General features: G+C 41.1%; 1 protein-coding gene across 123 annotated transcripts in view; it reads right to left on the reverse strand.

Annotated features, from left to right (window-relative positions):
* Positions 1-23,104, reverse strand: part of UTY (ubiquitously transcribed tetratricopeptide repeat containing, Y-linked) — a 246,776-nt gene that overhangs the window by 98,000 nt on the left and 125,672 nt on the right. For 66 of the 123 annotated variants that reach the window (NR_047602.1, NR_047600.1, NR_047635.1 and 63 more), the window contains one exon: positions 3,669-4,441. The exons of 27 other annotated variants lie outside the window; for them this stretch is intronic. Coding sequence is in view for 67 of the 96 variants with exons in the window: in XM_011531447.4 (XP_011529749.1) it covers positions 3,669-4,441 (773 nt within the window). In the remaining 29 variants the exon portion in view is untranslated. Of the gene's footprint in view, positions 1-2,323; positions 2,447-3,668; positions 4,442-22,891; positions 22,940-23,104 lie in introns of all 123 variants that reach the window. 30 more of the 123 variants (XR_007068451.1, XM_011531448.4, XM_011531445.4 and 27 more) reach the window with 4 other exon arrangements.

The following is a 23,104-nucleotide window of genomic DNA, read 5'->3' on the forward strand; positions in this document are numbered from 1 at the left end:
AAAAAAAACAGGACTATGTGAAAAGACCAAACCTATGATTGACTGATGTACCTGGAATTGATGGAAAGAATGGAACCAAGTTGGAAAAAGCACTTCAGGATAATTTTGAAGAAATGGATAAATTCCTGGAGACATACAGTCTCTCAAGACTAAACCAGCAGAATTCCAATCTCTGAATGGAACAATAACAAATTCTGAAATTGAGGCTGTGATAAATAGCCTACCAATCAAAAAAGGCCAAGGGCCAGGATTCACAGCCAAATTCTACCAGACGTACAAAAAGGAGCTGGTACTATTCCTTCTGAAACTATTTCACACAATAAAAAAATAGGGACTCCTCCCTAACTCACTTTATGAGGCCAGCATCATCCTGATACCAAAACCTGGCAGAGATACAAGAAAAAAACAAAACAAATCCGGCCAATATCCCTGATGAACATTGATGAAGAAATCTTCAATACAGGCAAACCAAATCCAGCAGCACATCAAAAAGCTTATCCACCACAATCAAGTTGGCTTCATTCCTGGGATGAAAGCCTGGTTCAACATAACACAAATCAATAAACGTAATCCATCACATAAACAGAATCTATGATAAAACCCACATGATTATTTCAAGATATGCAAAAAAGGCTTTAATAAAATTCAACATCCCTTCATCCTAAAAATTCTCAATAAACTAGGTATTGATGGAACATGTCTCAATAAGAGCTATTTATGGCAAACCCATAGCCAATATCATATGGAATGTGCAAAAGCTAGAAGCACTCCCTTTGAAAACCACTACAAGACAAGGATGCCCTCTCTCACCATACCTATTCAACATAGTATTCAAAGTTGTGGCCAGGGGAATCAGGCAAGAGAAGGAAATAAAGGGTATTCATATAGGAAGAGAGGAAGTCAAATTGTCTCTGTTTGCAGATGACATGATTGTATATTTAGAAAACCCCATCATCTCAGCCCCAAAACTGCTTATAAGCTGATATGCAACTTCAGCAAAGTCTCAGGATACAAAATCAATGTGCAAAAATCACAAGCATTCCTATACACCAGTCATAGACAAAAAGAGCCAAACCATGCATGAACTCGCATTCACAATTGCTACAGAGAATTAAATACCTATGAATACAACTTATGAGCACCACTTCAAGGAGAACTACAAACCAGTGGTCCAGGAAACAAGAGAGGACACAAACAAATGGAAAAACAGTCCATGCTCATGGATAGGAAGAACCAATATAGTGAAAATGACGTGCCCAAAGTAATTTATAGATTCAATGCTGTACCCATAAAGCTACCATTGACTTTCTTCACCAAATTAGATAAAACCACTTTAAATTTCATATGGAATTAAAAAAAGAGCTCATATAACTAAGACAATCCTAAGCAAAAAGAACAAACCTGGGGGCATCGCACTACCTGACTTCAAACTATACTACCAGGCTACAGTAATGAAAGCACAGTACCGGTACCAAAACAGATATATAGACCAATGAAACAAAACAGAGGCCTCAGAAAAAACACCACGCATCTACAACCATCTGATCTTTGACACCCTGTCAAAAACAAGCAATGGGGAAGGTATTCCCTATTTAATAAATGGTGTTGGAAAAACTGGCTAGCCATATGGAGCAAACAGAAACTGTACCCCTTCCTTACACCTTATACAAAAATTAACTCAAGATGGATTAAAACTTAAATGTAAAACCTAAAACCATAAAAACCCTAGAAGAAAAACTAGGCAATACCTTTCAGGACACAGGCATGGGCAAAGACTTCATGACTAAAACATCAAAAGCAAATGCAACAAAAGCCAAAATTGACAAATGGGATCTAATTAAACTAAACAGCTTTTGCATAGCTGTTGGGGAAAGGCTTATGGAGTGCCTGTATAAACTGGCCATAAAAATATGGGACAATAAGTTGTGGAAAGCCATAAAAGGGCTCTGAGGAGGAAAGCTTTCTTATCACCATTATGTTCCCATGCTCTAAGCAAGACCTGCTCTCTTACCTAGAAACAGTGTGTTAAAGGAGAAAGACACTCCTTTGAAGCACTGGAATGTGGCTGGACATGCAGCCTCCTAGTTCAGCCTGCTCCCACCAGCCGCTCTTCAGTAAGTTAAAGATATGCTGATTGAGCACAAAAGAGATTCACTTAAACTGCCACTGCTATAAGATTATGTGTATGACGCACTGCCTCCCTTTCACCGTTTCGCCCTGAACGTCTGCTTCTTAGATCTAAGTGATTGTACTCAACAGTGTGGAGACCAGAGCTCTAAGCCTTTGCAGCCTCCACATTTTGCACTGGCCCCCTGGCTCCCACCTTTATGAACTCTTGTCTCTTCTCATTTCTTTGTCACCATTGAACTTCAGGTACCCACGGGTGGTGATGAGGCTGGACCCCAACACGCAGCAAAAGAAACTATCATCGGACCGAACAGGCAACCTACAGAATGAGAGAAAATTTCTGCCATCTTTCCATCTGACCAAGGTCTAACATCCAGAGACTACAAGGAACGTAAACTCATTTACAAGAAAGAACAGCCTCATCAAAATGTGGACAAAAGGTATGAACACTTCTCACAACGAACTTAAAACAAATTTGTAAGAAAAAACCAAAAAGCTCCATCAAAATTGGGCAAAGGGTATGAACAGAAACTTCTCTAAAGAAGATATTCATGCTGCCAACAAACATGAAAAGCAGCTCATCATCACTGGTCATTAGAGAAACGCACATCAAAACCACAATGAGATACCATATCACAACAGTAGGAATGATGATCATTAAGAAGTCAGGAACAACAGATGCTGGCGAGGCTGTGGAGAAATAGTATGCTTTTACACTGTTAGTGGGAATGTAAACTAGTTCAACCATTGTGGAAGACAGTGTGGCGATTCCTCAAGGATCTAGAACCAGAAATACCATTTGACCAAGCCATTCTATTACTAGGTATATACCCAAAGGATTATAAGTCATTCTACTATAAAGACACATGCACATATTATTGCAGGGCTATTTACAATAGCAAAGACTTGGAAGCAACTCAAATGCCCATCAGTGATAGACTGGATAAAGAAAATGTGGCACATATACACCATGGAATACTATGCAGCCATAAAAAGCATGAGTTCATGTCCTTTGTGGAGACACGGATGAAGCCTGAAGCCATCATTCTCAGCAAACTAACACAGGAACAGAAAACAAACACCGCATTGTTTACACTCCTAAGTGGGAGTTGAACAATGAGAACACATGCATATAGGGAGGGTAACATTACACACCAGGGCCTGTCAAAGGCTGGGGGCAAGGGGAGGCAGAGCATTAGGACAAATACCTAATGCATGCAGGACTTAAAACCTAGATTACAGGTTGATATGTGAGGCAAACCACCATGGCACATGTGTACCTATGTAACAAACCTGCACATTCTGCACATGTATACTAGAACTTAAAGAAAAAAAAAACAACCCACAACTTTCAACATAATAAATTTCCTTATGACAAATTTAAACATATAAAACAACAAAAAAAATTGTTGTTTTATATGAGTGACTCTATAAATCTTTTGAGCATGTTACATTTCTTAACATATCACATCACATTTTATTTGTCTCATCTGGCCAGTAGTTGACCATTTTCATTTTGTGAAGAATTTTCCCACACTAACCTGCATGCTTTCAGAACTTCTGTTGAACTGGGGCATATAGACACTGACATTGATGGTAAGATCTGAGAAGTAGATCTGTGGCTAGCTAAAGGCAGGTCTACTTTTGTAGAGCTCTGTGACTTCCCCAGCCCCTCTCCATTGACTGTGTGTAATCCACTGTGAGGACTGTTAAGGCTGGTAACACTGTTTATGCTTCTCTGCTCAGTGGATTTAGGAGAAGGTGTTGCTGTGGAAATGGCTGAAGAGGGTGAAGAGGCAACAGAATGATCAGTCTTTGTATGAACAGCTGGGTGAATATTATTCACTTTGTCACAGGTTCCAGTACCCACATTGCCATTGGCTTTTCCAATCAACAAAGCAGAGAGCTGAGGATTGTCTGCAATTAATAAATTTGGTGAATCTCCATGGTTAGGACTGGAAACAGCATCTGCTATCAACTGATGAACATGATTAGAAAGTCCCTTGACATCAGCACAGCCATTAGATGTGTCTCCAGTATGCCTGCTTGTTTCAGGCACCAAGGATCTATTTTTTGAAGGCTTGCTCTCTTTGGTAAACATAATGCCTTGTTGTCCACCTGAGGTAGCAGTATGACAGGAGAGGTGACTGTCAGCATCCCCCTGTGGTACTGAATTACTAGGCAGAGTGAGATGTTCATTCGCCTTCTTAATACCAGTGCTAGTTGCCTGGTGATACTGGGCTGACCCAGTGGAAAACAGAGGTTGTTCTTCATTAGGTCCTGACAAACATGAACTCTGACTTTTATGAAGCCCCTAAAAAAAAAAAATTGAAATTTAATATCATGGGAGCTGAAATGCATATACAGAAAACTCTTGAGGATTAAAATGTTAAACACAAAGCCACCATAAATAAACTAAATTTTGTGTAACATAATTGAAGCCAAATCTCAAAATCATTTAAAAGTTCCCGTAATCAACAGATTAAAGTGGTTAGTATTTTTAGAGAAAATGATCTAACCTGCCAGCTTAATTTCATTTACTAATATGTGAACAATTTTCTTCACATTAGGCTTTTTAAAGTTTAAATTGTTTAATTCTGACATACATTTTTAGCTGAATAAAAGTGTATCTCAAAATTTAGATGTGGAAAAACATGTATGGTTATTATACTTAATACATGAAGTATATTTATTACAGGGAATATCATTCACAATAAGCCACAGACTATGCAAAAAAAGTCTCAATAAAACTAAAAGAACTGAAATCATAGAAAGTATGTTTTCTGAAAAAGAATTACATCAAATATCAAAAAGATAAAGTCCTATAAATACCCAAATGTGTGAAAACTAAACAGAAATCTAAATTTCCTATGGGCCAAGTTAAGAAATGACAAAATAAATTAGAGAATTCTTTGAACTTGATAAAAATAAAAGCATACCATATCAAAATTTAGTTTAATGCAATACATAGAAGGTTTTATAGCTTCAAGCACTTAGGTTATCAAAGAATAAAGGTCTAAGATCAAAAAGATAAAATACCAATTTAAGATGTTGTGAAGAGAGTATCAAACCAAAAATAAATACAAGGGAATAAATAACACAGGTAAGAAGGAAAAAAAATTACTGAAATAGAAAACACAAAACCAATGGAAAAAATTTGTTAAAAAACATATACAACTGGTCTTTGAAAGGATGGACATCACTTAAAAAAATCCTTCAGCTAAATATATCATAACAGTATATATAAACTTGGCAAAGTAGAAAGAAAAGAGATTATACCACCAGAGATCCTACAAACAACATTTTAGGAAGAAATTATACTAATCTTAACAAAAATCTTTTCAGGATATACAGCAGGACAGACCTTCACTAAGTCATTTCAGAAAGCCAGTTATACTCTAACACCAGTGAAAGCCAGTAAAATATATCACTGAAAAAAACATCTCCCTTGAATATAGACAACAGGATCCTTAAGAACACATTAGCATGTCAAACCCAGCAATATATAATAATTATGCACCAAGACAAACGAGGATTTATCTCAGAAAGCCAGTAGGTTTGCATGTGAAAATCAAGCAATGTAATACCATGCTATTAGAATAGAGACAAATAACAAAAAGGTGGAGTTACATTTACCTATTTTTAAAACTTACTATAAAATTATAGTGACCAAGGCTGTGTAGAATTGGTGTAAGAAAAACTATATACAGGAGTAGGACAAAAGAGTCTATAAATACATCCACACATAGATTATGAACTAATTGTTGACACAGTTGCCAAGATGGGAAGAATAAGACTTTTATACAAATGATGCTGGAATAATCAAATATCCTTACGCAAAATGGATATTCTCACACAATGTACAAAAATTAACTCAAAATGACTTAATTAAATGTATGAGACAGAGCCATAAAAATTCTATTATAAAATATAATATACCAAATAGATTATAAAGGGTAATCTCTATAAAGTCAGTTAATTATGTTAATCCTTTTTTTTTTTTTTTTTTTTTGAGATACAGTGTTGCTTTGCTGCTCAGGCTGGAGTGCAGCGGTGTGATCTTGGCTCACTGCAACCTCCACCTGCCAGGTACAAGTGACCCTTGTGCCTCAGCCTCCCAAGTAGCTGGGACTACAGGCACGTGCCAACTGGCCTGGCTAATTATTTTCTTCTTTTTTTTTTTTTTTAGTAGAAACGGGGTTTCATGGCTGGGCGTGGTGGCTCATGCCTGTAATCTCAGCCACTTTGGGTGGCTGAGGCAGGCAGATCACCTGAGGTCAGGAGTTTGAGACCAGCCTGGCTAACATGGCGAAAACCTGTCTCTAATAAAAATACAAAAATTAGCTGGGCAAGGTGGTGTGTGCCTGTAGTCCCAGCTACTTGGGAGTCTGAGGCTGGAGAACTGCTTGAACCCAGGAGACAGAGGTTGCAGTGAGACAAGATCACGCCACTCCAATCCACTCCAGCCTGGGTGACGGAGCAAGACTCTGTTTCAAAAATGGAAAAAAAAAAAAAAGAACGGGGTTTCATCATGTTGGCCAGGCTTGTCTCAAACTCCTAACCTCAAGTAATCCACCTGCCTTGGCCTCCCAAAGTGCTGTGATTAAAGACATGAGCCACTGCGCCTGGCCACAAATGTTAATCCTATCTACAGAGCACCTTCACAGAACATTGAGTGAAGAAGGAATCAACTATAACCTAATAGTAGTAGTAATGGAAACTTTAAAATCCTCTTGAAGTTGCTGCAAAGTGTGACCCCCACCTCACGCTCAAGTTAAAAGAGAACATTTAAAGCCTGTCTTCTCTTTGTGATCAGTGGACCTTATCTATACTCCCCAACTCCACATTCCTCAAAGTTTATTACAGGCCCAGCAAGTTCCTGCTTACTTCCCTAGCACGGCTGCAGGGTCTTGTGGCTGCAGGGTCACAAGACCAGTAAGTTTAGGCTGCAAGATATGTTTTTCTCAAGATGTAAGAAATGTTGTAATGCTTGATTAACAGCGTTAGCTTCTCACTTCTGTAACTTGCTTCCCGCATCACACAGTTCCTGCCTTTAGATGTTTAAAGGTAGGAAAAACCCTTTGTTTGGGGCTCAGGCTTTTTGGACATATGTCTGGCTGAGCCAGTGATAACCTTAATAGACTGTCTCGAACCTTTTTTGGTCTCTCCAGTCTTTGATTGTCCTGAAACAGTTCTGGGGGCTTTGTCTGGGATTGGAGATGGCAGATTTTCTATCTCCTTTGCCAGTGGGCTAGAGCCCTGGGGTCCTTAGCACCACCAGGAGAGTTTCAGCCCAGAAGGAGAATGGCCCTCCCATATTCCAGAGACTTCCCCTGACAGCACAAATGGAACAGGTAGAAAGTGTTGCAGGACAGTCACGGAAGCAGTGCACAGACATCTAAACCGTGCTAAGGATTGGGCCATAAGGCAAGACCTGTCCCATAAGGATGGAAAGGCAGCCGGATTACCTCCCAGGGCGTGATGACTAGTCTGACCCAAGGGGGCTGGGAACATCAGGAGAGGCTCCACTGACCCAGATGAAACTCACGCCCTAACTGATACCAGATGTGGGTGGAGCTCACAAGTTGGTCAGAAAGGAAAACTGTTTCAGGAATGCGGGAGGTGTGTGAAAGTGTGTGAAAGAGACGGTCTCGGGAGAGACCAACACAGGGCGTGATGTGGTGAAGCACAGATCTGTTAGCAGGGACTGTGTGCTCTGAGGCAAGTGTGAGAAAAACCAGACCTAGGACACTGCATATGGCCCATAGGACCAGTTCCACGGCTGCAGTGAGCTGTGACAGGAATTAAGGTACGCTCCTGGCTAAGCAGTGTCCAAACCTCCCATAATAGGATCTGGACTGGTGGATGCAAAAGTGAAAGCGTGCTGTGAGTGGGGAAGTGGGAGGAAAAATGTCAAAGCCTACTCCACTGGAGTGCATGCTGAAAAACTTTAAAAAAGGTTTTAATGGTGATTATAGGGTTAAACTAACTCCACAGAAACAGAGAACCCTTTGTGAGATAGATTGGCCGTCTTTTAATGTAGGGTGGCCAGCCAAAGGGACAACAGACAGGGAAATAATTGGCTGAGTGTTCTGGGTAGTCATGGGGCTGGAGAACAGCCTGGGTACCCGGATCAGTTTTCGTATATCAACTCCTGGCTAAGTGTAATTCAAAGTCACACTAAGTGGCTGCAGGCCTGCTTTGGGACCTATTGTAAGACTCTAATGGCCCGGACAAAACCAGGAACCACAGGAAGAGACCGCAAGGCATCAGAAAAAGAAAAGGAGTCACAGGAAAAGCAGAAAAAACCTGTCCTACAGGCCCCAAATGAAAAGTTAGAAAGTCCACCCCCCCATGCACCAATTTATCCATCCCTGGCAAAGAGGGCTTAGACAGGAAGGATGCTGCCCTGGCCGCCTCCGGAGATTCAGACTCAGAAGAAAGCACTCCTCAGACAACACCACACAGAGAGGAACCACAGTCCTTGCCTGAAAAGCCAAGGGAGAAACTCCAGGGGGATGAGGTAGGCCACCTTAGGTCAGGTCATGCCCAAGCAATGCAGACACCCCTTCAAGAAACACGGGGACAAATTTATTTAACTGCACAGAATGAAGTCCAAGGGGGCGAACAGCTCTTCGTTTATCAGCCCTTCTCTACTACTGATCTCTTAAATTGGAGACAACCTACTCCTTCCTATACAAAGAAGCCTCAGGCTCTTATAGATCTAATGCAGTCTATTTTCCTAACTTACAATCCTACCTGGGATGATTGCAAACTTCTTCTGTCATTATTTAATACAGAAGAGCGCCGTAGTTATACAAGCCGCTCTCCAGTGGCTGGAGAACAATGCGACCGCAGGCACAGGAGATATCAGGCTGTATGCATAAGCACTCCCGATAGAGGCTGACCCAGACTGAGACCCTAACCAGGCTCAAGGGCTACAAAGTTTGCAACGGTATTGAAAGACACTCCTAAATGGAATAAAGGCTGAAGGGGAAAAGGCCACCAATATCAAAAAGGTCTCAGAGGTCCTCCAGAGCCAGATGAAAGTCCCAGTGAATTTTATGAGAGGCTCTGCAAGGCTCAGCAACTTTACACGCCATTTGACCCAGAGGCTTCAGGTAATCAGTGTATGGTTAATGCAGCATTTTTAAGTCAGGCACGAGGAGACGTAAAGCAAAAGCTTCAGAAGTTAGGTTTTGAAGGCATGAATATTATCCAGCTTATCCAAGTGGCTACTAAGGTGTTTCTAAATCAGGATGAGGAGGCCAAGAGAAAAGCTAGATGCAGAGCTAAGGAAAAGGTAGACTTGATGGCGGTGGTCTTAGTTGGAGGAGAAACTAATTTTGTGAGAGGACATGGCTGTGGTGGAGGACAAGCAAGGCAAAACCAGGAAGCTAAGCCAGGACAAGAGGGCTGACCTACGCTTGAGAGAGATCAATGTGCGAGAGGCAAGCAGATGGTACACTGGAGAATGAATACCCAGAAAGAGAAAAGTATAAAGGCAACAATCAGGGACAAAATGGCTGGCCAGAACCCCCTGCTGACGGTCAAGGGGTTCACAAGTCAGACACGGATTTAATTAGACTGGCAGGAATCAATGATTATTATGAGAACTGAGACAGACCACGCTCCATTTCATTAGGCCCTGAGGAACCTACGGTCTCAATGGAGGTAGGGGGCAGGAAAATGCACTTTGTAGTCGATACTGGTGTGGAGCATTCGGTAGGAACTCAAGCAGTTGGACCACTGTCTAAAAATTATGTCAATATAAATGGGGCTGCAGGAGTAACAGAAAAGAGGCCTTACTTCAAATCTAAAAGATGTGTGACTGGAGGACAGGAAGTCCAAAATGAATTTTTATATTTGCCAAATAGTCTGGTGCCCTTGTTAGGAAGAGACTTGCTCCAGAAATTGCAAGCACAAATCTCCTTTACCCGAGAAGGGGACATGACTTTAAACCTAGGTCAAAGAAAAGCCATGATAATGACCCTTACCATCCCCACAACAGAGGAATGGAGACTACGAGAGATGCAAAATTTGTAAAGATGCATTTTGCAAGTGGGAAAATGAGGCAATGTATAAGGAATTATTTATCAGGCTGCCAGGGGTGTGGGCAGAAGACAATCCCCAGAGCTAGCCATAAATCAGGACCCCACAGTGGTGGAACTGCTGCGGGACACCAGTGCGAATCGGTCAGCATCCCATCCTAGCAAAGCCACCCATGGGATTACAAAGGATACAGTTCAGCTCCTTAAATCTGGATAATAGAAAGATGTGCCTCTTCTTGAAACACTCCATTACTACTGGTGTTAAAGCCCTCTGGAGATTACCAGACGGTACGGGATTTGCAGGCCATATATAAACTTGCAGCTACATCACATGCCATTGTGCCCAACCCATACACACTGCTTGGGCGAATTCCTGCTGACACTGCTTGGTTTATGTGCTCAGATATAAAGGATGAATTCTTCTGCATCTGACTAGCTCCTGAAAGCCAGGGCATCTTTGCCTTTGAGTGGGGCTCATCACAGTATACTTGGACCAAACTCCCCCAAGGATTTAAAAACTCCCCAACCATTTTTGAGGACACACTTGTCTCAGACCTGAAGGCTTTCATGCCACGAAGTGGCCGCTGTGTCCTGTTGCAGTACATAGATGATTTATGCACCTACAAAAGAGTGCTTTCAAGGTACAGAAAAGCCTCCTTGATGTTCTGTGGGAGGCTGGCTATAAGGTCTCTAAGGAAAAGGCACAAATCTGTGGCCAAAGAGCAAGGTATCTTGGCTTTAACCTCTCTCAAGGGCAGCTTGAGTGTGGACGTGGGCGAAAAGAGACTGTTTGTAGCATTCCTTGACCTGACGCTAGACAAGTGTGGAAGTTTAAACGGGCAGCTGGTTTCTGTCGCATTTGGATTCCATGTTACTTGCTCTTAGCAAAACCACTGTATGAGGCTACCAAAGTGGCGGAAAACAACCCCTCCTGTGGGGAAAAGAGCAGGACATGGCCTTCAAGGAAATCAAGAAGGCTTTGATCCACGCCCTGGCATTAGGACTGCCAGACATGACAAAGCCTTTTTACGTGTATATCTATGAAAGAAAAGGAATATCTATAAGAGTCTTGGTACAAACACTAGGGTCATGGTATTGGCCCGTGGCATGTTTGTCCCAGCGACTAGACTTGGTGGCTATGGGATGGCCTCCCTGTTTCAAGGCAGTGGCAGCCACTGCCCTGTTAGCAGAAGATGCTAACAAGCTCACATTTGGACAGAGGTTGATAATTCAGGTGCCCCATACGATCGTCACCCTGATGGGGCAGAGGGGGCATGGCTGGCTTTCTAACCCTAGGATGTTAAGATATCAAGAACTTTTGTGTGGAAACCCCTACATAATCCTGGTGACTCTGAATACTCTAGATCCACGCACACTGCTGCCAAAAGAGTGGGCAGAGCACAGAAAGCCCCCGTTGTGTTGCCCAGGTTATCACTGTTGTGTGGAAATGGTAGATGAGGTTTTCTCAAGCCAAAAAGACTTAAAGGACCAGCACTTAAAAAATCCAGATGTGGAATACTTTACTGATATGATACTTCAGATATGAAGCAGCTTCAGATATGAAGCAGATATGATACTTCAGATATGAAGTAGCTTCATATCTGAAGGTGTCAGAAGGGCTAGATATACGGTGAGGCATTGAATCTAGTGGCTGAAGCCTGCCCTCTGCTGGTCGGAACTTCAGCCCAAAGAGTTGAGCTAACAGCCCTCACTAGAGCATCGCTCGTGGCCAAAGGAAAGTCAGTAAACATCTATACTGACCCAAGGTGTGCTTTTGCCATTTTGCATTCCCATGGAGCCATATGTAAGGAAAGAGGATTATTAACTACTGAAGGAAAGGAAGTCAAAAATAAAAGGGAAATAGAGTTGCTCTTAGAAGCTGCTCTGAAAGAGCTCCAAAAGAAGTAGCAGTCATCCATTGCAAAGGGCATCAAATGGCAGGAGGTGATGAGGCTAGAGGAAACAGGAAGGCAGACAGAGAAGCCAAAAGAGTTGCAATGATGGAGGTAACTAAGAAGGAAGGGCAAACCCTTACCATGCCCTTACTAGAGCTTCCCCTTACAGAACCCGCTAACTACTCCTCTAATGAAAAGACCTGGTTTGAGCAGGAGAGTGGAAGTTAACAGAAAGGTTGGTGAAAGTTCTCAGATGGGAGGCTTGTCATCCCAGAAGCAATAGCCACCCAGTTCATAAAGCAGTTTCATCAAGGAACACATATGGGAAAAACCGCATTAGAGACTCTTGTTGGATGGCATTTCTATGTTCTGCGCCTAACTGCCATCACTTGAGCCATTTGTGAGCAATGTTGAACTTGTACCCAAAATAATCCATGGCAGGGGCCAACATGGCCCCCAGGGATTCAAGAAACTGGACTACACCCTGTGAAAACCTGCCTGTGGACTTTATCGAGCTGCCTCAAGTTGGAGGCTGCCGGTACATGCTAGTGTTTGTCTGCACTTTCTCAAGGTGGGTCAAGGCATTTCCCACCAGGACAGAGAAAGCTCGGGAAGTAACCAGGATCTTACTAAAGGGGATTATTCCTAGATTTGGACTGCCTCTAACTTTAGAATCAGACAATGGCCCAGCATTTGTAGCAGATAGTACAACAACTAACAGATGTTAAAAATCAAATGGAATCTGCATACAACTTATTGCCCACCGAGTTCTGTAAAAGTTGAAAGAATGAAGGAGACACTCAAACAGCTGTTAAAGGTTTTGCCAGGAAACTTATCTAAGGTGAAATCAGGAGCTGCCCATGGTCCTTCTGTGAGTCAGAGGCACCCTACTAAATTAACTGGGTATTCACCCTATGAGATGGTGTTTGGCTCACCACCCACAATCATAACTCAGATAAAAGGGGATTTAAAAGAAATTGGGGAATTAACCTTAAGAAGGCAAATGCAAGCCTTAGGTGAGGCCATGCAGGAAATACAAAGGTGGGTAAGAGAAAGAATACCTGTTAGTCTCATAGATGCAGTACATCCCTTCCAACCTGGAAACTCTGTCTGGGTCAAACAATGGAACCCAACCACGTTAGGGCCTTTATGGGATGGTCCCCATATTGTGATCTTGTCTACCCCCACTGCTGTTGTTGCAGGTATCACACCTTGGGTTCATCACAGCCAGCTGAAACCAGCAGCGACCACAACTCAGGACCCGCGGCCAGTCAACAAAACCCAGACTACCCAAAACAGTTGATCCTGCGGCAAAACTATGCCACTGCTGACAAGGATAACTGCCCTGCTCTGACCATACCGGAGGCTGGTCAGTCCAAGCACAGCTGAACCTTAGGGAAACACTGAGCCCTGCTCTAGTCAGACAACTGGAAGCTGACTAGTCTATGCATGGCTGAAGCCTGAGGAAGTCAATAATAGATAAGTAAATGTGGACTGAATTTACAAGCATAATTAAATTCTTGTACTGATTATTTTACTGTCATGTTATCTTTGCAAATGCTGCCAAGCTTTTTGCCCAGAAGGGTGCCCATGCACAGTATAAGTTTAATCATATTGGTAATACTGAAGTCACTGACACTTTCACCTATGGTTATAAAAGGGGACCAAGATGACTGTCATCACTGTATGATAGAAGCCTGGTCCAGAAAAGGTATGACTAAAACTATGTTATACCAGACCTACTATGAGTGGACAGGGACTCATACAGGAACTTGTGTCTATAACCAGACTAGTTGGTCTGTGATCGTGGAAACAGGCAGCCCCAAGTATGTAATGACCCAGAGTTCGTGCCCTATGACTTTTGGTTTGAAGTCCAAACTGGCAAACCCCTAATGCCATCATATATAAACCCCACAGAAATCAGGGTCAGTAAACCTGTAAACAAAAAAGAAGTATTCCCTCACTCGCATAAAGGCCCTGTCTCCATACATTTTGATGCCTGCCAAGCTTCACATCTCAGTAAACTAAATACTATTGGGACCATCCGTAAAAATCTAGGACAAGAAAGAGTCAGCAGCAGAGCTACCAAGGCTGTAACAGGAAAATCCAAAAAGGAGTGCCCTGATTGTGATAATCAGTGGACCACACATGAATTTATCAGCACCTATACACAGGAAGGGTTGCTCTATTTGCCAGCCAAGAGGTGAAGATAGGGTGCACAACTGGAACTTGCAACCCACTCAATCTGACAATACTAAAGCCAAATATGCCTTTCTGGACTAAAGGGCCTAAAGGGCTACTAATCTTTGATCAGGAAAGAGCACTCCTAGGACTTCGTATTCCTCTGGTCATTACCAGGAAAACCCAAAGGACCCAAGTTCAAGTTAGCCCAATGCAACACTTTAGGTTTTATACATCTTTCAATGAACACTTTAATCCTGAAGTATCAAAAAATCAAATTCCTCCTATATCAGCTGAAAACCTGTTTGCCCAGCTAGCCGAAAGTACTGCTAACAATTTAAGAGTTACTGTATGTTATATATGTGGAGGTACCAATATGGGAGCCTAAGAATTGATGCCACAAGAAAATTTTACCTTACCTGAATTTGTTACAAATTCAATGCAAATCCAAGTGTTTGGCTGTTAAGGAACCCCATCACTGGAAAATACTGCATCACCCATTGGGACAAGGCCTTTCAGAACCAGGGAGGGGCAACGACTTGCCTAGGTCAACAATATCTTGCAAAATCCGAAAACAGAACACAATGGGAAGCTTTATAGACAATTCCTCTGTGTCAGACTTTAATCCCTTTTGCAGTTCCCAACACTATATCAATCATGTTACCACCGTAATAAGTGGATGCCTACTTATTCCTTGTCTCCTGCCACTTCTCATCAGAAGCATCCAATCCACCACAGAAGCCAACGGTACACAGACATACCATCACCTGAATAATGGCTCTGCAAAAGTACCAACCGGTATCCCAAGATAAGTATGTACCCACTCAAGAAGAAATAGCTAATTGTGGTGCACTTTACTAATCTACATTTGTGTGGGACACCAAAGGGGGGAAATGAAGAAGGAATTAATGAAATCAACTATAACCTATTAGTAGTAGTAGTAGAAATTTTAAAATCCTCTTAAAAGTTGCTGCAAAATGTGACCTCCCACCCCTCAACTTACACTCAAGTTAAAAGAGAATATTAACAGCCTGTCTTCTCTTTGTGATCAGTGGACCTTATCTATACTCCCCAACTCCACATTCCTCAAAGTTTATTACAGGCTCAGCAAGTTCCTGCTTACCTCCCTAGCACAGCTTCAGGGTCACAAGACTGGTAAGTTTAGGATGCAAGACATGTTTTTCTCAAGACTTAAGAAATGTCGTAATGCTTAACTGCCTTTGTTTCTCACTTCTGTAACTTCCTTCCCACCTCACGTAGTTCTCGCTTTTTAGATGTTTAAAAGTAGGAGGGCCGGGTACGGTGGCTCATGTCTGTAATCCCAGCACTTTGGGAGGCTGAGGCAGGTGGATCACAAGGTCAGGAGATCGAGACCATCCTGGCTAAGATGGTGAAACCCTGACTCTACTAGAAATATAAAAAAATCAGCTGGGCATGGTGGCAGGCGCCTGTAGTCCCAGCTACTTGGGAGGCTGAGGCAGGAGAATGGCAAGAACCCGGGAGGCGGAGTTCGCAGTGAGCCAAGATCGTGCCACTGCCCCACAGCAGCCTGGATGACAGAGCAAGACTCTGTCTCAAAAAAAAAAGTAGGAAAAGCCCTTTGTTCGGGACTCAGATTTTCTAGACATATGTCCAGCTGAGCCGGTGATCACCTTAATAAACCCTCCTGAACCTTTTTCGGTCTCTCCAGTCTTTGATTGTCCCGCAACATTTCCTGCAATAAAATAACTGAGCTTCCTACCCTACCAATTCTGACACATAAAATTAACCATTTCAAAATAAATTTTTAAGGCAAGTTTTAAGTTTAATCTTCAAATACTTTCAGGAAGGACAGTCTCTGTTTTAGACTGAATGGTAGCTTTTTGTTCCTTGTAGCCATTTGTATTGAGTACCCGGTTTGGCCACATCTAACTTTTTCAGGCTCAAGGGATAAAACAGAATAGAAACAGCCTAATTCCCTATTTTACCCAGCTGATTAAATAAAAAGTAAAGGAAATAATTTAGAATATATAATATTAGATTATGTTTTGATACGGACCTTACAGAAAAATTTATGAGAGAAGAGGGTAGAGAATGCTGGAGACAATAGCAAAGAGTTACATTATGAACAGAAAGATAATAAAAAGCTGATATCCTTGAGATTGTGATATTTGATGAAACTCCTGGAGGAGGATCTGAGAGAATAATGAAGATACAGTCGCCCTTTGTATCTATGGGTTCCCACATGGGTGAATTTATCCAACCATTAATCAAAACTATAAGGAAAAAATATATAATAATACAACAATACAAATAATACTTATTTTTAAAAGAGCATAACTTATTTTGAGGAGCTAACTTTTGTATGATAATCAGGACACAGCTATAAGAGAAATCAAGAGGAAATCAAAAGGAAAAGCTGGTAGATTGTACAAACTGCCTGTATCACACAAATTTCTTATTTTCCTCACTCAATTCCTACTGATCAAAAACAAAAGAAAACTGAAATGTTAGTCCAGCATTGTTCAACCTTCATTTTAGAAGGTTTATTAACAGGATATATTCCCTAACTTTGAAAACACAATGTCCAGTGAAAGAATTAAGACACTAAAGGTCACATACTATAGTATTCCATGTGTATAAACTGTCTATAATATGTTAATCCATACACATAGAAAACAGATTGGTGGTAAGTTATCCAGGGTTAAGAGAAGGGAAGTGACTGGTTAACTTACTGCTGCCACCCACATTGAACACACAGGCAGACAGATTCACATCTTACCATAGTATCACAACTTACCAGAGCAAAAGGCAGTGAACAGAAACTGCTGCTGGAACCACTAAGAGAAAAACCTAAACTGTAACTGAAAAACTGATGGATGCTCAGTTTTTGAGAGTTAGAAGCTTCAGGGAGGCCAAGCCTTAGGGAATCTCCATATTTTTATAAGTTTTACCTCCAGAAGCCCTAATAGGATCTTACAGTAAAGACTAGAAAACACACCTCTACAACTTCTAACAGGAGAAGAGGCAAAGTAAACATTCTGAAATGTTTCCTGAGCATCCGTTCTTAAAAAGGCATGACTCAGGGAAATTACTGTATTATTTGGCCAGAGCCTAACACAGCTAGGGTTTTACTATAACCTAAACAACACGACAGACAGAAAATACTCAATGCCAAGCCTCTCTAGCCTTCCTGCTTGTTTAATGGGGAATAAAAAGCTGACCAGCACTTGTGAAGGAATCAGCCAAAAGGTAAAGTCTCATTAAAAGACAGGCAACTAATACAGAACACTTCCTTCCCACACACTTTATCACCTCATCACACTTTATCACATCAACAGAACACTTGCAAAATATGAGGGAATACAAGTGAAAGCATAATCCCACCCCCAAGTATCAATCCCTTATTCTGTAACCTGGCTGCTGCCTCCTTTGTCTGTGGTAAGGCAGCTGGCAGGTTTACTAAAAGCTTGCCTGAACTTGGGTCTTGCTCTCTCTCTTGTTTTTTCTCTCAGCTGACCTTACAGAAACCAACCACAGACCCAGAAAACTTAGGAGAATATCCAACAATATAAATAACAAAAAATACTACAATACACATCTATATGTAAACTGTAAAAAAGCAAAGGCAATGAAAAAATTCTGAGAAAAATTAAGGAACAAAAAAACACCCCAGCTTAACTATGGAGGAGCCAAGTTAAGAATTACATCTGACTTCTCTTGTGAACATATGCACTAAAGGAATGAATATTTCTGCCCACCCTTACCGCCCAATTCCTATTTTGAAACTGAATCACCAAGGTGAAATTATTAGGAGACTGGGCTTTTGGGAGGGGATAAGATCATAAGGTGTACAGCCCTCATGAGTGAGATTAGTGTCCTTACAAAAGAGGCCTGAGAGACACTCCTTGCCCATTTCACCATGTGAGGACACAGCAAGAAAGTAACATAGATGAACCATCTCACAAGACACCAAGTAGGCTAGCTCTTGATCTTGGACTTCTCAATCTCCAAAACTGTGAGAAATTTCTTTGTTATAAATCACCTAGTCCATAGTATTTTGTTATAGTGTTCTGAATGAACTAAGACTCCATGCAAAAGAGAGACTAGACAGAAATGTTTAAAGTATTGAAACAAAAACCCAAACTGGAATTTCAGCAAAATTACCATTCAAAAACCAGGAAAAAATTTTTCTCAGACAAACAAAAACTTGGAGAGACTTCTGTAACTAGAACACATGGCTAATAGGAGAAACCATGAGAGATGAGGAAAGGAATGGGAGCTTTTTTACTTTTTGTGTAATTTTTCCTATATACCGAACACAGCTCTAAAAATTAAAGTATATTAGTCAATAAAAATAAACAAAGTTTCAAGAAATTTATATCTGTATATAAAAAGAAATTTATATCTGTATATAAAACCTTAATAGCTCTACTGTGCCATCAGATAAAGCAGGTCCTTCAGTGAGGCCTCACTTTCATTCTACTAAGGGAGGAAACCACCCCTCATATTGTCTTATGCCCAATTTCTCCCTCCAAAGAAAGAAGAAGTAAAAACGCAGAAATGAAATCCACAGGCAGACAGCCCGCACCCTGGGCCTAATTAAAGATCGACCCCTGACCTAACTGGTTATGTTATCCATAGATTCCAGACATTGTATGGAAAAGCACTGTGAAAATCCCTGTCCTGTTCTGTTCCATTCTGATTACTGGTGCATACAGCCCCCTGTCATGTACCGCTGCTTGCTCAATCGATCACGACCCTCTCACATGGACCCTCTTAAAGTTGTGAGCCCTTAAAAGGGACAGGAATTGCTCACTTGGAGAGCTCGGTTGTTGGAGACATGAGTCTTGCCTAAGCTCTCAGCCGAATAAAGCCCTTCCTTCTTTAACTTGGGTGTCTGAGGGTTTTGTCTGTGGCTTGTCTTGCTACACTACCTCTTCATAAGCTATTCTCCAGCCACTCCTTAACCTGCCCTTTCTCCTTGCAAATTCCTTCAATTATCTGGGTCTCTAATGTGCTGGCCCTCCCAAGGCACTTGCTCATGTCACATTGTATTACAATTCATGGTAATTTAAATTCTGCTAGTCCTTTCCTTCCACTAGAATAAATATTGAACAGCTTGCATGGTAGCGGTGTTCTCCAGGGAATATGTGCAAATATTACTTGAAGATACTTTCTAAAACATGTCATTATGTCTTATTGAAATAGCAATGAGATTTGGTGTAACTGTAAAGTAATAATTGTTTTTTCCCTTTTCCTCTGATTTCCATACTACCTAATGTAATTTATCTGTACACTAGCTTTAACTACAACAGTCCCTCATATTCGTAGGGGATATATTCCTAGACCCTCACTGGATGCCTCAAACTGTCAATAGTCCTGAATTCTCAATATTTTTTTTTTGATCTGATAACTGAGGGACAGCAACTAAGTGAATAAAGGGTAGGTAACGTGTACAGTGTTGATATGCTGAACAAAGAGATGATTCACATCCTGGTCAAATGGAGTGGAACAGGACAAGATTTCATGACACTACTCAGAATGGCATGCAATTTAAAATGTATGTACTGTTTATTTCTGGAACTTTCCATTTAACAGTTGCCCCCAGGTAACTGAAACCACAAAGAAAGCAGTATCGTGAATTTATAATACTGTAAATAAACTTACATGCACAGACTAAATTACCACGTAGTCCAGACATACCTCATTTTATTGTGCTTTGCTTTACTGAACTTCAAAGACACTATGTTTACTACAAATTGAAGGTATGTGGCAACAGTGGATATCAAGCAAGCAAGTCCATCTGTACCACTTTTCCAACATAATGTGTTCACTTTGCATCTCTGTAACTCTCTCAATTGTTTGAAACTTTTTCATATTGTATCACTGATTTGTAATCAGGGATCTTTGATGTTACCATCGTCATTGTTTGAGGGCACCACAGATAGGGCAGCACACTTAATTAACAAATGTTCTGTGTTCTGACTGCTCCGCCATCCAGTCCTTCTATTTTTTTCCCTCTCTTCAGACCTCCATATTCCTGTCACAAAAATATTAAATTAGGCCACCTAATAAACCCTACAATGGCCTCCGAGCATTTGAATGAAAGGAAGCATTGCGTATCTCTCACCTGAGATTTGTGGATTAACTCATAACTTTGAAAGAAGTTCTACTAGGGATTTTTTTTTAATTTTTTGAAACAGGGTCTCACTCTGTCACTTAGGCTGGAGTGCAGTGGTGCAACCTCAGCTTACTGCAGCCTTGTCCTCCTGTGCTCAAGCAACCCTCTCACCTCAGCCTCCCAAGTGTCTGGGAATGCAGGCACATGACACCATGCCCTGCTAATTTTTGTAGTTTTCGTACAGATGGGGTCTTGGTATGTTTTCCAGGCTGGTCTCCAACTCCTGGGCTCAAGCAATCCTCCTGCCTTGGCCTCCCACAGTCTTGTAATTAAAGGCCTGAGCCACTGTACCAAGCCACATCTCTCCCTTTAAATCCAAAGCTAGAACAATTAAAGTTAGTGAGGAAGGCATGTCCAAAGCCAAGACAGTCATAAAACTAGCCCTCTTGTACCAGTTAGCTGAGTTGTGAAGGCCAAGGAAAGTAAAACTGTTACTCCCATGGACATACAAATGTTAAGAAAGCAAAACAACCTTATTGATGATATAAAGAAAGTTTTAGTGGTCTAGATAAAAGCTGTCTCATCACTGACAATATTCCCTCAAGCCAAAGCCTAATCCAGAAAAAGGGTGTAAACCCCTCCTTCAAATCTATGAAGGCTGACCGTGGTAAGGAAGCTGCAGAAGAAAAGTCTGAAGCCAGTAGAAGTTGGTTTATGAGGGAGAAGGAAAGAAGTCATCTCCATAATATAAGTAAGTGCAAGGTAAAGCAGCAAGTTATCCAGAAGACCTAGCTAGTATCATTGATGAAGGTGGCTACACTAAACAATAGATTTTCAATGAAGATTACAGTGGAAGAAGATGTGATTTAGGTCTTTTCTAACTAGAGAGAAGTTAACACCTGGTTTCAAGGCCTCAAAAGACAGGCTGACACCTTTGTTAGGAACTAATAAGGCTGGTGACTATAAGCTGAAGGCAATGCTCATTTATCATTCTGAAAATCCCACAGCCCTAAAGAGGTATGCTAAATCCACTCTGCCTGTGCTTTATAAATGGGATAACAAAGCCTGTGTGATAGCCCAACTGTTGACATCATGGTTTACTGAATACTTTTAAGTCTATATGGATAGCTACTACTCAGAAAAAGAGATTCCTTTCAATATACTATTCCTCATTAAATATACATTTGGTCATTCAAGAGCTCTGACAGATGTAAAAAGAGATTAAATTTGTCTTCATGCCTAACACAGTATCTATTCTGCGGCTCATGGATCAAGAAGTAATTTTGACTTTAAGTCTTATTATTTAAGAAATACATTTCATTTCATAAGTCTATATATAACTAACACAGACAGCAATTCCTCTAATAAAGCAAAGGAAAGGGAAAACTTTCTGAAAAGGATTCAGTCATTCAACATGTCATTAAGGACTTTCATGATTCATGGGAGGAGGTCAAAATGAATGTGGAAGAAGTTGATTCCAATCCTCATGGATGACTTTGAGGTGTTCAAGACTTCAGTTGAGGAAGGAACTACAGATGTAGAAATGGCAAGACAGTTTGACAGGTGGAGCCTGAAGAAGTGACTGAATTGCTGCAAGTGCACAACAAATTTTGAATGGATTAGAAGTTGTTGTTTCAGGGATGAGAAAAGAAAGTGGTTTTCTGAGAGGAAATCCACTCCTGGGGAAATGCTGTGAACACTAACTACTGTGATACAAACAAACGATTTGGAATATTACATAAATTTATTTGATAAAGGCAGTGGCAAAGTTCAAGAGGATTGACTCTAACTTTGAAAGAAGTTATATCATTGGGAAAACATCAAATAGCATGGCATCCTACAAAGAAATCTTTCAAGAAACAAAGAGTTTGTTGGGCACGGTGGCTCATGCCTGTAATCCCAGCACTTTCGGAGGCCGAGGTGGGCACTTCACTTGAGATCAGGAGTTTGAGACCAGCCTGACAAACATGGTGAAACCCCATCTCCACCAAAATTACAAAAATTAGCTAGGAGTGGTGGCATGCGTGTAGTCCCAGCTACTTTGGAGGCTGAGGCAGGAGAATCATTTGAACCTAGAAGGCAGAGGTTACAGTGAGCCAAGATAGCCCCATTGCACAGGCTGGGCAACAGAGTGAGACTCTGTCTCAAAAAAAAAGGGAGGCAGGGAAGGAGAGAGGGAGGAAAGGAAGAGAGGGAGCAAGGAAGGAAGGAAAGAGGGAAGGAAGGGAGGGAAGATCACAGTAGCAAATATCGTTGTTGTCTTAAGGGGTCACAGCCACTTCATCAGCAAACACCATCCTGATCAATGAGCAGTCATCACCATAGAGGCAAGACCGTCTACCGCCAAAAAAATTATGACTTGCTTAATGATCACAGGCTTTCTTTTTTTAAGCAATAAAATATTTTCAAAGTAAGATGTTGTTTGCTTACACAAATTATAATTGCAAACTGACATAATATAGTGTAAACATAACTTTTATATGCACTAAAAAATAAAACTAAATTAGTGTGATTGGCTTTATTATGATACTCACTTTATTGCAGTTGTCTTGTATGAAACCTGTAAGATGTCCAAGGTAGGCCTGTAATGATCCTGGTATCACTTAAAAGTTTTATACTCTTATCAATTACTTAAATTACTTTTTAAAGACAAAGCCATTCTTTAAATTTCTATCTTTTTAGAATGTACACAAACTAAATAAAGATAAACTACTATATAAGAGCCAAGAAAGCAGCTAGTCCTTTTT

Source organism: Homo sapiens, chromosome Y, assembly GCF_000001405.40.
Source record: "Homo sapiens chromosome Y, GRCh38.p14 Primary Assembly".
In the NCBI taxonomy this organism is placed as follows: domain Eukaryota; kingdom Metazoa; phylum Chordata; class Mammalia; order Primates; family Hominidae; genus Homo; species Homo sapiens.